Source organism: Homo sapiens, chromosome 2 (genome assembly GCF_000001405.40).
Source record: "Homo sapiens chromosome 2, GRCh38.p14 Primary Assembly".
Lineage (NCBI taxonomy): Eukaryota > Metazoa > Chordata > Mammalia > Primates > Hominidae > Homo > Homo sapiens.
Window position 1 is genome coordinate 68,177,111 of NC_000002.12, and position 13,641 is coordinate 68,190,751.

General features: G+C 37.3%; 1 protein-coding gene across 1 annotated transcript in view; it reads right to left on the bottom strand.

Annotated features, from left to right (window-relative positions):
* Nucleotides 1-1,746: 1,746 nt before the first annotated feature.
* PPP3R1 (protein phosphatase 3 regulatory subunit B, alpha) overlaps nt 1,747-13,641 on the bottom strand; it is a 73,676-nt gene continuing 61,781 nt past the window's right edge. Inside the window, exons 3-6 of the mRNA NM_000945.4 lie at nt 11,404-11,580; nt 10,145-10,204; nt 9,358-9,542; nt 1,747-3,900 (exon numbers count right to left, since the gene is read on the bottom strand). Coding sequence (NP_000936.1) covers nt 3,853-3,900; nt 9,358-9,542; nt 10,145-10,204; nt 11,404-11,580 — 470 coding nt within the window. The 3' untranslated portion in view covers nt 1,747-3,852. The remainder of the gene's footprint in view (nt 3,901-9,357; nt 9,543-10,144; nt 10,205-11,403; nt 11,581-13,641) is intronic.

Here is a 13,641-nt window from a genome sequence, read left to right on the forward strand (position 1 = left end):
AAGGGAGAGAAAATGTTAGGGGAACCCAATTAATAATCCTTGGGATGGGAAAGTATGAAGAAGGAATAGAGGTAATAAATTTGACTATCATACTGGCAGTTGATCTTAACCTGGGTCAAATAACTTCATTAAACCCTTCTCTAAGGCCAAGACACTAAATCTAATACTTCCAACCTTACCTGTTTCTATGGCGCTTGTCACTCTATATTGTAATTATTGTGTCTGCCTGCCACCCTAAGGCTTATATTTTGGATACTCAGTATCTGGTACGATTTTCTGACATACACTTTACATATGTATTCACTGATACATTGCCTGGGAGATGGGCCTGAGAGAAGAGCATTTTCTTAGGTATTCGTGGCTGGCAAGAGACCCATGGAGTTTCCTCCTAGTCACTCGCTCCTGAAGAGCTGGGCTCCAACTCTCATGCCACCTAGAACTAGGAATGGTATGCAAGAAAGCTCATGCTCCTTGGATAGTCATCTTGTCTACTTCTAAGACTGTTAGAAGTAGGTTTAAAAAAAGGGCCGGGTGTGGTGGCTTAAGCCTGTAATCCCAACACTGGGAGGCCAACATGGGAGGATCGCTTGAGCCCAGGAGTTCAAGACCAGCCTGGCAACATAACAACACCCTGTCTTAACAAAACAAAAACAGCCAGGTACTGGCATGCATCTGTGGTTCCAGCTACTCTGGAGGCTGAGGTGGGAGGATTGCTTGACCCCAGAAGACTGAGACTGCAGTGAGCTGTGATCATCCCACTGCACTCCAGCCCAGATGAACAGAACAAGACCCTGTCTCAAAAAAAAGAAAAGGAGCTCTGGGCCTTAAATCCATCTACTTGCTTAGGTCTAACAAACCTTTACTCCTGGGATGTTTTAACAAGTCACAGAACCCATTGTAACTAGTGCACATCTGGTGATACAGGTGTTCTGGATATAAAACATCCCCAACTTATCTGGCCCAGGGATGTCATTTGCCAGAGCATCTCAAGTGCCTATTACAGTGATGGACATGTAGTAGGGACTGTAAAGTTGAATAAATGAAAGCAAAGTTACCAAGTAAATGTAATCTCAAGAAATGCCAATTTTACCTTTTAAAAATACTGAATAGCATTTATTATAAAATCACAACCTGCATAAACAGGGTATCACATTAATTTATTAATTATTTATTGGGTAAACACTAAGAGCTAGGTAATACTCTGGACAACTGGGCTGGGGCTATCAGTGAACAAGAGACAAATCACTACCCTTTTGGAGCTTTCATTTTATTCAGTAGTCAGGGAATACAAAATACGTAAGTAAACTGTGTCAGAAAAGAATAAATGCCATTGTAGAAGGAAAAATATAGAGGAGGAAAGAAGAGCCAGGCGTATCTGTATTTTTTAATAGGGTAGCCAGGACAGTTCCTTTTGAGCTAGGCTGTAACTGAACAAACACCTGAAGGCATTAGCTATGAGATACTGGGAAAGGAAAGGGGCAAAAAGGGACTGATAGCGCAAGGGCCTAAGAGACACAAACCCAAGACTCCAGGTACCACCGGAGGCTAACATGGCTGGAGTAGAGAGAGGGGTAGCAGTAAGGGAAGTCATGGCAGGAGGTGATGGGAGAGTACTACAGGAATTTGTAGGTTTTTATAGAGATTAAATGTCACTTTACCAGACTGTTTTTAAGAATTTAAAAGCCTGAGAGGAAAAAAAATTCTCATAGCTATGGAAACCATCAAAGACCACTGAATACATTCAAGCAAGTTTCAAATATTTTATTTTCTTATTCATACAGTATGAAGTTTTCTAAAGATCCCACAACATGACGTATCATGCAGAAGAAAAACTAAACATTCAACATAAACCATCCCCTCCCTTACCCACCCCCACACACAAACTAAAAAAAAAAAAAAAAAAAAAGAAAAAGAAAAAACCCTCATTCCCCGGTAAGGAAATAATGTTTACACTATTTTTCTGTAACGCCAGCCAAGATATGCACAAGCAAGAGAAATAGAAAGCATTTGCTAAAATATTTGTAACAAATACTTATGTACAAAAAATTCACAAAAGGCTAGTTCCCCCTTGAAGCAGAGCACATGGCAGTTGACACTGGAACAGTTCAAACCACTGGCTGGGATTATAAGCCATGCCACTGATCCAGAGGAAGAAAGTTACATGTAGTGGAGATTTTCAGTCTGAACATTAACATTTCCAAAGTTTGGCAACATTATCTTTTAAAATTATGCAAATTATGTAAACAAGAGGTACATTTTAAATTGATCTACATGCAAAACTCCATGTCATGCAAGGACACCAAGCACCGGGATTTTTCTCTCACAGACAGAGCCCATGATGTGCAGCACTCAGTTGAAGGAACAGCGATGGCAGGCAGGTGTGCTCAATTTCAGATTGATTCACCTTGATTCAACCTGCCCTTTTCCACTGATTTTAAAACCAGTTTTTATAGAGAAACTATAAAGGGAAAGACTACTGTCATACAAAGCTAACCAAAATGTTTTTCTTCCAGCTAACAGTACCTTTGCAGAAATGGGAAGGGATAAGATCAAACAGTAGAACATGATACACTACTTTTATATCACACAAATTTATTAAGTTATCCATTACCAATTATATGGGCAAATCAAGAAAAAAAAACCAGTATGCATGCTCTATCCCTCGTGGTAAAGAAATTTAAGTGGCATAAATTTGGATACAATTTTGCTCTTCTGTGGCATATAGATTAGCAAGATTTCTCACACTTAAACCACAAATATATGTGGGTGTTTAGATACATACATGCATATTAAATATCACCAGTTTTTTAGATTAGCTGCAAGTCTTTTGAAACAAGGGAATTCATGATTCAAACACAAGTTTAATGACAAATTATTTACCCATGTAATCAAACAAATGGATATCCCTTATAAGTAGTTACATGATCACTTCAGGTATTCTTCAGTAAGTGATACATACAATCAATCATGATTGCCTCAGACAGCTTCTGGCCTTTATGTATAAAATCACAACTAGCACTTAACGTTACTGAGGGACATTTAATAAATGCAATGGCTCCTAGTTACAAAGTAGCAGAATGAAGCAGCTATAAGCCCTGTGCAGTTACTATATGAACACAAGAACTAGCTCTTGGCAGTAGCAATGAACTAGACTTTCTCCTCAAGCAGAGGTGTATTAAAAGCTGCTCAGCAATGAGAAGTAGTCCCTGGATATATTCATAAGTATAAATAAAGTTACAGACTCCTTTGTTACAAAAATGTAATTAAGGTAAATAATAGGACGTTAACAAATGCTTTGTCAATCTCTCAAAGGAGAAAGCACAGGAAAAGGAAAATAGCTGGCCTAACACCCGGCTCAAATTGTACAGTCTTCTATCTATATATAAAACTGTGTGAAATAAAAGTAAGGATGTTTTATGTTCTGCTTGGCACTTTTGTACTCTATTGTTTTGTTTCTGAATCAAGTATATTAAATTAAAGCCAACCTACTACATATATAGAAAGCTACATATATCTATATATAAATATTTACATATGTATATATAGATACTTTCTTGTTATAAAAGATGAAGAAAAATAAATTAAAAAGCCAACCCCTTCCCTTTCTCCACCACATTGATATGCTCTTTTCATGTTGCTGTCCTTCAGACTTTAAAGTGCTACACTGAGTTATTGAGAGAATTACAGTTCAATAACACTTAGTTGGCTTCATGAGGCTCATGTTGGAAAATGTGGCTTCACAGAGAAAAATACTTCCATTTAAATACACAGAGAGCATTGCTGGACGTCTTGAGCAGATCTTCAGAGATGGAGAAGAAAGCAAAAGTGTTGGGTGGTACTCTCTGATAAGAGTCACACATCTACCACCATCTTTTTGTGGATATCTAGGCCACCTACAACCTGCAACAGACAGGAACAAATCAAGCTTCACAGTGTCTGAGAAACTCCTCATTCGTGGTCTAACTACTTCATCAAATTTTAAAAAATATTACTAGGGGGCTGGGCGTGGTGGCTCACACCTGTAATCCCAGCACTTTGGAAGGCCAAGGCAGGTGGATCACAAGGTCAGGAGATCGAGACCATCCTGGCTAACACACGGTGAAACCTTGTCTCTACTAAAAAAATACAAAAACTTAGCCGGGTGTGGTGGCGTGTGCCTCTAGTCCCAGCTACTGGGCAGGCTGATGCAGGAGAATCGCTTGAACCCGGGAGTTGGAGGCTGCAGTGAGCCTATATCGCGCCACTGCACTCCAGACTGGGCAACAGAGCGAGACTCCATCTCAAAAAAAAAAAAAAAAAATTACTTTAGCTATATTCAGAAGGTGAATTTAAAGACACACAAAAAACCAAAACAACAAAACTTGAGTGACCTCCAGTTAGAATTTTCATGGTTTCTTTCTCCTAGGATAACAGGCATTACTTTTTGGGTGTTCTTGTACAAGGGCCAGTCTTGCAGGCTACATGTAGTTTCTTTCACATTTTCCTTTTTTTTTTTTTTTCAAAACAACACTTCAGGTAAAAACGATTCTTAGTTCAAAGACAGACATAAACAGGCTATGGGCAGGATCTGGTTTGCTCTGTAGTTTGCTGGCCCCTACTTCAGTAGTTTAATATCACACGATAACCAGATATTATGACAAAAACTGTCCTCACAATCAAATATGCGTGTCACTCTCAGTCTGTTCTAGACAATTTAAAAAGTACCAAGTGAATAAACATGTCTGTATATTATTTTTCTGTAGAGTCAAATACATGTAGTCATACACATCTCAGTGAATACTGACATGGTAATGTGTAAGTGTAGTATCTGTATCATTTGGGGGGAATGTTTTATTACATTTAATCTACATAAAGAGAATGCATAGGTCATAAATGTCCACAGTTTGATGAATTTTCACAAAGTAAACACCCAATAACCAGCACCCAGATCTTCCAGTCACCAGACATCTCCCCTCCTCCAACCCCCCCCTCCCCCCACCACACACACACGACCAGTAGCTACTATTTTCTGTTTCTGTACATTTTATAAATGGAATCTCTTTCGTGTCTAGCTTCTCTCAATTTTATGCTTGTGAGATTAATCCATGTTGTTATGTGTATTTGTTATCTGTATTATTTTTAAATTCAAACTAAAAAAATAGTCCCTTTATTTGAAAACTAAAGCATAAAGTGCCAACGAATTCTACAACTCCTGCTGTGGGAAAAAAAGCAGTTTGTCACCCTGCCCTCATTCTCTATTTGCTTTTATGCAGTGGCAATAATTTAAAGTTTTCAGCTGACTTGCACTATTTACCTCCAGGTCTCTTAAGATTTTTAGCTTTCACATACTTCTCTTCCCTCTATCTCCTACCCTACACACTTCACAAACTCTGTACCATTCCAATGGCTTTATCTTTATTTTCATCAGAAATTCAGCATTTTTCAGCCAGGTGCGGTGTCTCACGCCTGTAATCCCAGCACTTTGGGAGGCTGAGGTGGGCAGATCACTTGAGGTCAGGAGTTCAAGACCGGCCTGACCAACATGGTGAAACCAGGTCTCTAATACTTAAAAAAAAAAAAAAAAAAGATTAGGCGGCATGACTCCAGCCTGGGCAACAAACTGAGGCAACACTCCCTCTCAAAAAAAAAAAAAAAATCAGCATTTTTCATTGTTATAACTATACAATACAGATAAACAGAACTATGTATTATGATTACTTTTTCTTTCCTGCACATTTGTTTGGTACACAGTTAATTCCTTTGCTGGGTGTTCTATGTAATTATAATTCAACCCCTAACTTTTGTTCTAAATACATTCAACTAAAAATATTATGTAATTCTATCAATTTTATTGTCTTGAAAGCACTCTTTGAGCCTTCCAACCTGCTGCACTCTAGACTTTTTGTCTCCAGGCCTGTCATCTCTGGCGCTCTTCATCATATTGGGGATCCTCCCTCTCACCATGCTGGACCCTCTGCTTCCTGGATCCTACACTCTCTACTTGTTTGATTTATGACCTTATTGCAGTGGGAGCACATCCTCCAGTAGTTTCCAAAATGAGAAGGCCTTACATACCTAAAAGTGTCTTTCTACTACCATTTGAGTGTATAGAGAATTTTAAGTTGGAAATAACTGTCCCTCAGAATTGCACAGGCAAAATGCTCCATGTTCTTGTGGGTTTCCCACACTGCTACTAAGAAATCTGGTGCCATTATGACTCCTGGTTGTTTATATGAAGCCCTTCTCCCAGCACTCCACCCTACCACCCCAGCTCTTTGGAAATCTGCAGAACCAGTTATTTGTTCCCACTGTCTCAAAATTTCATGACAGTGTGCCCAGGTCCAGATTATTTTTACAGACTATGCTAGATGCTCCATAAGCCCTCTCAGAAAACATATTATTTTTGGCTTTGGAGTATTTTCTTGATTCATTTTTGATTATTTATTTCCCTCCATTTTCCTTCTGGAATCCTGGCATTCGGGTGTTACAACTCCAAAAATAGGTATGTAAAATTACATTCCCAAGAGCTTTTTTATATATTATCCAACTTTTGTTTCAAAAATTCAATATACAATATCCCCAAGGATAATGACAGGTTTCAGTTTTCCTTTTAAAATTTTTACTGGTCTTGTCTAATCTGTTTGTTTTGAACTTATTTTTTTGGACCTGGTTTCATCTTTATATTCCATACACAGAGGTTTCCTTCAGTGTTTGGTGAGATCCTTGGCTTTGCTTCTGTAGAAAGGGCACTGGAACTCTGGGTGAATGATGGGGCTGTTAAGTGAGAGCTATACTTTGAATGATCTGGTAGCACCATTTCTTTGGGGAGATAAGATTTCCTAAAGAGGGCTCTTTCCCATCTCTTACCTAGACAGTGTAAGTCCAGCTGCTAGGGAGTCAGGAAGTCAGGTACAGAACAAGGGCACAGATGCCAATATGCAAATATGCTTACTGCCACTTAGCTCCCCAACACATATACCTCATCTCTGCCTCATGTTTCCCAGCCTAGAGACTCTCCCCAATCTCTTGATAGGGTGCAGGAGAGAGAGCTGTCCAGGGGAACAGAGTAGGGAAGGCGATCTTGTGTGTTCCAGTTCCTTCTTAAAACAGACTTTAACCAGTCTTTCTGTTTTTAGCCTCACTTTCATCCTCACTTCCAGTTGCTTGTGCCATCAATTTCTGAGCCTTTCACGGATTCTCCATTATAACCCAGCTTGTTTCTCAGATTTCCAAGCTGATAAAGCTTAGAATCATTCTGCTAGGTTAGTTAACCATTCAACTTTCTAAACGTTCTAAATTACCAAATTTAGATGCTGTCTCTTCTCTGCTCTTCATTTTTGTCCTTGTGAGTACATAACCCTTTCTAATTCATTGCATTTTATTGGAGTTTGGGGAGGAGGTAAAAATAAATTATACATGGGTTCAATACACCAACTTTAAGCCTGTCACTAATCATCTGTAAGAATTATTTGTATACATTAAGTACTCTGAAAATTTTAAAGTACATATATAGTATGCAATCTTTTAAAATAACTTCCAATCTTTCACTGTTATAGCTTGAGAAGTCAACATAAAAAGAACTCAATGAAGCCAGTTACAAGCGCTTGATCAATGTTTAGAAAAGTTGGTTTTAAAAACACAACGAACATTTTTCTCCACTCGTAAACTATGCCCCTTAAAAATACAAGCAAAAAGCAACTGATTACAAATACTGGTGGCCAGACACAGTGGCTCGTGCCTGTAATCCCAATGCTTTGGAAGGCTGAAATGGGACGATCGCTTGAAGCTAGGAGCTGGAGACCAGCCTGGGCAACATAGCGAGACCCCTGTCTACAAAAACTTAAAAATGGGCCAGGCGCAGTGGCTCACGCCTATAATCCCAGCACTTTGGGAGGCCAAGGCAGGTGGATCACAAGGTCAGAAGATCGAGACCATCCTGGCCAACATGGTGAAACTCCATCTCTATTAAAAATACAAAAATTAGCTGGGCCTGGTGGCATGTGCCTGTAATCCCAGCTACTCAAGAGGCTGAGGCAGGAAAATCACTCGAACCAGGGAGTCGGAGGTTGCAGTGAGCCAAGACTCTGCCATTTCACTCCAGCCTGGTGACAGAGTGAGACTCCGTTTCAAAAAAAAAAAAAAAGAAAGCTTAAAAATAAACTAAAATAAATATTGGAAAATAAACTCGAAACTTAGCTTATGTCTTCAATATAGATAACAGCATTATTTCTATATATAAAAGATATATTTTAATTTCCTTCCACTGATGTGATATACTTATTACATTTTATATTTGCTAAATGCAAGTAATCTTCATTTATATATTATATTTATATATTTATATTTCTTATATTTATATTATATTTATAATTTATATATTATATATATGTAAAATATACATAAGATATATACATTTTATTTATATATATATATATATCTCCCCTCTTCCAATACCATTGAAGCCAAGAATTTTCCATTTATTTTATTCCCCTAAGGCTTAGAATTTCTCCTTTCCTTCTTTTGAAAACTGGCTGCTATTTATGATGGCACAACCAGCCTGGTCTCATGTCACACTCCACCAAATGCCAGTTCACAGTGACCCTTGGCAATGGTGAAGGAGGTAAAACGGAAGGGACAGAAATGGCTTGCGGTAGCGCCCCCTGGGGGTAGTTCAGTGTCTTAAACGTCTCAAACCCATCTAACTCTTCCAAAAAAAGACGCAGTCTATTCTTTACAGTGCCACCCCACTTTTTGAAAACATAATAAAAAGATGGTTTTTGCTTAAGGATAATATGAACTTCTACTTAAAGGTCAAAGTAGCTACACTTCAGTTCTCACATAACACACAACTATCAAAATCACTTGTTTTTCCTTATATGATTTACATTTAAAAATAAAAAGGAGGAAGAAAATCTTTCTATGGAAGCATCCAATCATTACTGACAGAAAAATTTCAAAACTTTGTTATCTTTGCCTCTACTCTGGATGCTCTAGTTTTCTCTAGTATCTCTAGCTTGCAGTTTAAAATCCTTGTAACACATCAAAAAGCCTACTCTCTGTTTTTAGGGCATAAGTAGAGAAGAGAAGCTAAGTGGTTGTGGTTGTGCTTCTGTTCAGAAGCAATGAGTGATTAAATGAACCTTAAGAGTATAACCTAGTTGTAATTTGAGAGGCTACCAACAATAAGTAAAGTAGTATCCTTGGGAATAATAATTGTTAATAATTACAATGAAGAACACATTTCAAAACAATACGGGCAATTAGGAAAAATCAAATACTTAAGTTTTTAGGACAAAATATGGAAATTCTCTATTAAGTGGTTTTTAAAATATGTTGCTGAAACATAACTAACGGAAGAACCAGCTCTTTTGTACTTACAGCACAGAATTCTTCAAAGGATATTCTTCCATCTCCATCCTTATCTGCATTTATTATGGTTTTGTCTACAATTTGCTGTAACTGTGTATCTTTCAGATTGTTCCCCACCATCATCTTCAATACCTGGAAGAGTTCCCCATTGGAAATATAGCCATCTTTATCCATGTCATAGATACGGAAAGCAACTAAAAAAAAGGAAGGAAAATCAATTCCAATTACAAAGCAATCACAAGTAAATGCTTTCAGTAAGAAAGAAAATAGTAAACTGACAAACATCAAAATTATGACTATGAGGATGTCTCCTTCCTTAAAATAGAGTTGTCCTTAGGCACAGTTTAACATAGTTGGTTAAACGTACGGGCTTTTGAGACTGCCTGAGCAGATTTGGTGGAGCTTAGAGTAGGTTAACTATCCCTGCTAAGCTTCAGTTTCTACACAGATAAAACTGGATATAGTAACAACTCCAACCTCTCCGGTTCTTTAGAACATTTCTTCCCACTTTCACTAAAAAAATCTCTTCTCTAAATTACATATGTAGTTTTACATGGCTGTTTTCAGCAGAAAGAAACTGTTTTCCTTCTATCCAACTAAAAGCAGCAATGACACATTATTCAAATATAGTAGTTGGAAATGTCCTAAAAGGATTTTCACCAGAATGTAAAATTTCAGTTATGTCTAAGGATCTGGAATAAAAGACATCTTTTTCATTATTTTAAAAAGCATTCTATAATACAGTATGAAATGATGGTAGTATAAGAGAATGAAGTCAGTGAAGAAAAATACTTACACCTCAATTTCTGCTCCTTATCTCCTTTGACACTGAACTGAGAGACGCCCTCAATGAATTCTGAATAAGAGTTAAAAATGTTCACAAATCAGAACTTCCAATTTTTTACACAAAAAACATATTTACCTTACATACCCACAAAAGGATATTTCCTTGCTGCAAAACAGAAGTACTACTAGCAACGTTTAAAAATAAAATTGCCAAATTTGAAACCTCAACAAACAAGGTCTCTCTGTATTTTTTTTATTTGAACTTGGAGTTCTCTAAGGTCAATCAATTTGAACAAACATTTGTTAAGTGCAAGATAAAAGAACACTCAAAACATATTATTTAAGTTGTTTAACTCTTCCCTCTTAGAATATGACTGTAACAAGGGGCTTTAAAAAAAAACCCACTATAAATTGTTCTGACACACACAAAAAACTTTAGCCTTCTGTTTCAAAATTGTGAATCAAATATGCTGTTAGAAGTTTCATGACAAATGATCATTTTTCTTCACTGCCTGATAAGCACTAAATCATAATCAGTTTTATATCCCTCCACTTATAATTGTCCAAACTAAAATAAAATCTATTGACAAATCCCTTGTGAAATGTTTATTTACTTGTTAAAACAAACAAAAAAAAAAACTGGCTTGGCGCGGTGGCTCATGCCTGTAATCCCAGCATTTTGGGAGGTTGAGGCACGTGGATCACTTGAGGTCAGGAGTTCGAGACCACAGCCTGGCCAACATGGTGAAATCTCGTTTTTACTAAAAATACAAAAATTAGCCAGGTGTGGTGGCACATGCCTGTAATCCCAGCTACTCAAGAGGCTGAGACAGGAGAATTGCTTGAACTCAGGAGGCGGAGGCTGCAGTGAGCCGAGATTATACCACCACATTCCAGCCTGGGCAAAAGAGCGAGACTCCATCTCAAAAAAATTAAATAAATAAATAAAAGGAATTGCAGCTTCTAATGTATATAAGAATATACAGTATTGCCCTAAAGTGAGATTAATTTTCTAAAAAGAAAGGAAATACTGAGTCCCCCCTGCTTTTTGGTAGATTATCCTAAAGAATGACTTAATCATTTATGAACCACAGAGTAAAATGTCCTAGTTCATTAAGGTGTATATGCCACAGACGCTGAGGTTTTAACATAATCTATTATTGTAAGGTCACTAGGAATATAAGCACTTTTTTTTTTTTTTTACACAGAGCTGTAAGAATACAAATAGGTTAGATAACTTGTGGTTATAAAAAATAACTACTTTCTTACCTTTAAAGTCTACTTCTCCATTCCCATCTGTGTCGAATATATCTATTACTCGCTGTACTAAAGGATTCTGTTGTAACTCAGGCAGAGACATGAACTCTTCCACACTCAAAGAACCAGAATTGTCCAAATCAAGCTTCTTAAATCTCTTTCCTAGCCTTTTAATTTCATCCGCATCAACTAAAAGCAAACAAAAAAGGAAGCAAGAATTTTTTAAAAATGTTCCCAAATCCTTTCTAATGGGCAGTAGCAAGATTTTAAAAAAAATTTTAATAGTTATAGGGGGGAAAAAAAATCTAACAGTTATCCAATAGTTTAATTTCCAATTTGATAAAAAGAGGTATATATTATGTTAACTAATTTATTCTAATAGAGTAAGTACAGCATAAATACTTGTATTTGGTTACCTTTCTGTTTGTTTGCACCTGCCATTACATACATCCGCTGTATGCTGAGTCTCAAGATATTCCAGGCCGGATAATGCTAAGCTGATCATGGAGGTCACAAAAGATTATTTCAGGACTGACAATGCTAAGCTGATCACGGAGGTTCTACCAGACAGGTTCAATCAACCTCTGTTCTGTAAACCGAAGTACTTTCATTTTCATTTTTCTTGTTAAATTTTAATTTACTTTATTTCTAATAGTTCATGACTCAAAAATTCAAAGGGTATTCAAAATTCAAAGTTTCCCTCCCTTCCCACCCCGAGATATCCATTTCCTTTCTCTGAAAGCAACGTTGCCAGTTTCCTAAATATTCTTCCAGAGATACTTTGCAAGTTTGAGCAAATAAGCCAGTTTTTACTTAACAACCAAATAGCTAACAAAATTCACTTATCAACACTTTAAAAGAGAAAGAATAACTAAAAAGAAATGTTTACATTAGTTTGTAAGTAATCCATAAAAATTCAGTGTCAGGTCTCTTATATAAATTCTTGAAACAACAGGTTTAAGCTATTTTCTTCTAAATTACATCATTTTCATTCCTTTAAAATATCTGACTAATACACATAAGTAATTTTGATCATGACTTTATAGAAATAATTACAAATATATTTTTTAAATTAAATACAACGGGCCAGGCGCAATGGCTCACGCTTGTAATCCCAGCACTTTGGGAGGCCAATGTGGGCAGATTACTAGAGGTCAGGAGTTACAGACCAGCCTGGCCAACATGGTAAAAACCCCACTTCTACTAAAAATACAAAAATAAGCCGGGCATGGTGGCACGCACCTCTAATCCCAGATACTCAGGAGGCTGAAGCAGGAGAATCGCTTGAACCCAGGAGGCGGAGGTTGCAGTAAGCTGAGATCACGCCACTGCTTTCCAGCCTGAGTGACAGAGTGAGACTCCATCTCAAAAAATTAAAAATAAAAATAAATTAAATACAACAACTTTTAAAAAGAAAATTAAGAAGGCAAATGTTATACTGCCCATGAGTATATATGTATTATGGCCCACAACACTAGAAAAGAGTACAAATACAAGCTGTTTTGACAGCTTAAATATATGGCATCCTCACTGTAAGAACTTAAAAATTAAAGCATATATTTTAAATATAAATTATATTAAAATAGAACTATATACTATCAAAGTAAAAACTACAGCTACAAGATGGTGTTCTAATATGAATTAGTTCACACGTAATTCGTAAAGAGGAAGGAGAGTAGTATTGTCAGTAATCATGGAAATTTCACTGGTTCACAGGGATTTTTCACAGTAAAGGATCAGGGCAAGTTTCTCTTAAAAAAAAAAAAAAAAAAAAAAAAAAAGGCCGGGTGCAGTGGCTCACGCCTGTAATCCTAGCACTTCAGGAGGCCAAGGCGGGTGGATCACCTGAGGTCAGGAGTTTCAGACCAGCCTGGCCAACGTGGTGAAACCTCGTCTCCACTAAAAATACAAAAATTAGCCGGGAGTGATGGCAGGGCGCCTGTAATCCCAGGTACTTGGGAGGCTGAGGCAGGAGAAGCGCCTGAACCTGGGAGGCGGAGGTTGCAGTGAGCTGAGATCGCGCCATTGAACTCTAGCCTGGGCGACAAAAGGGAAACTCCGTCTCAAAAAACAAACAAAAAAAACCCCTCAATATATGAAGACCTTAAGAAAACAATAGTGAAGAGGTGCTTTCCTTTAGAGAAAACAAGTTTAGGGGCTTTAAGAACCTCAAGTCTTTCTAAAATTGTTATGTTGTCTGGTGAAAACTAAGGACACAGATGAAGTTGTGAAGACAATTTCTTTTGTTTT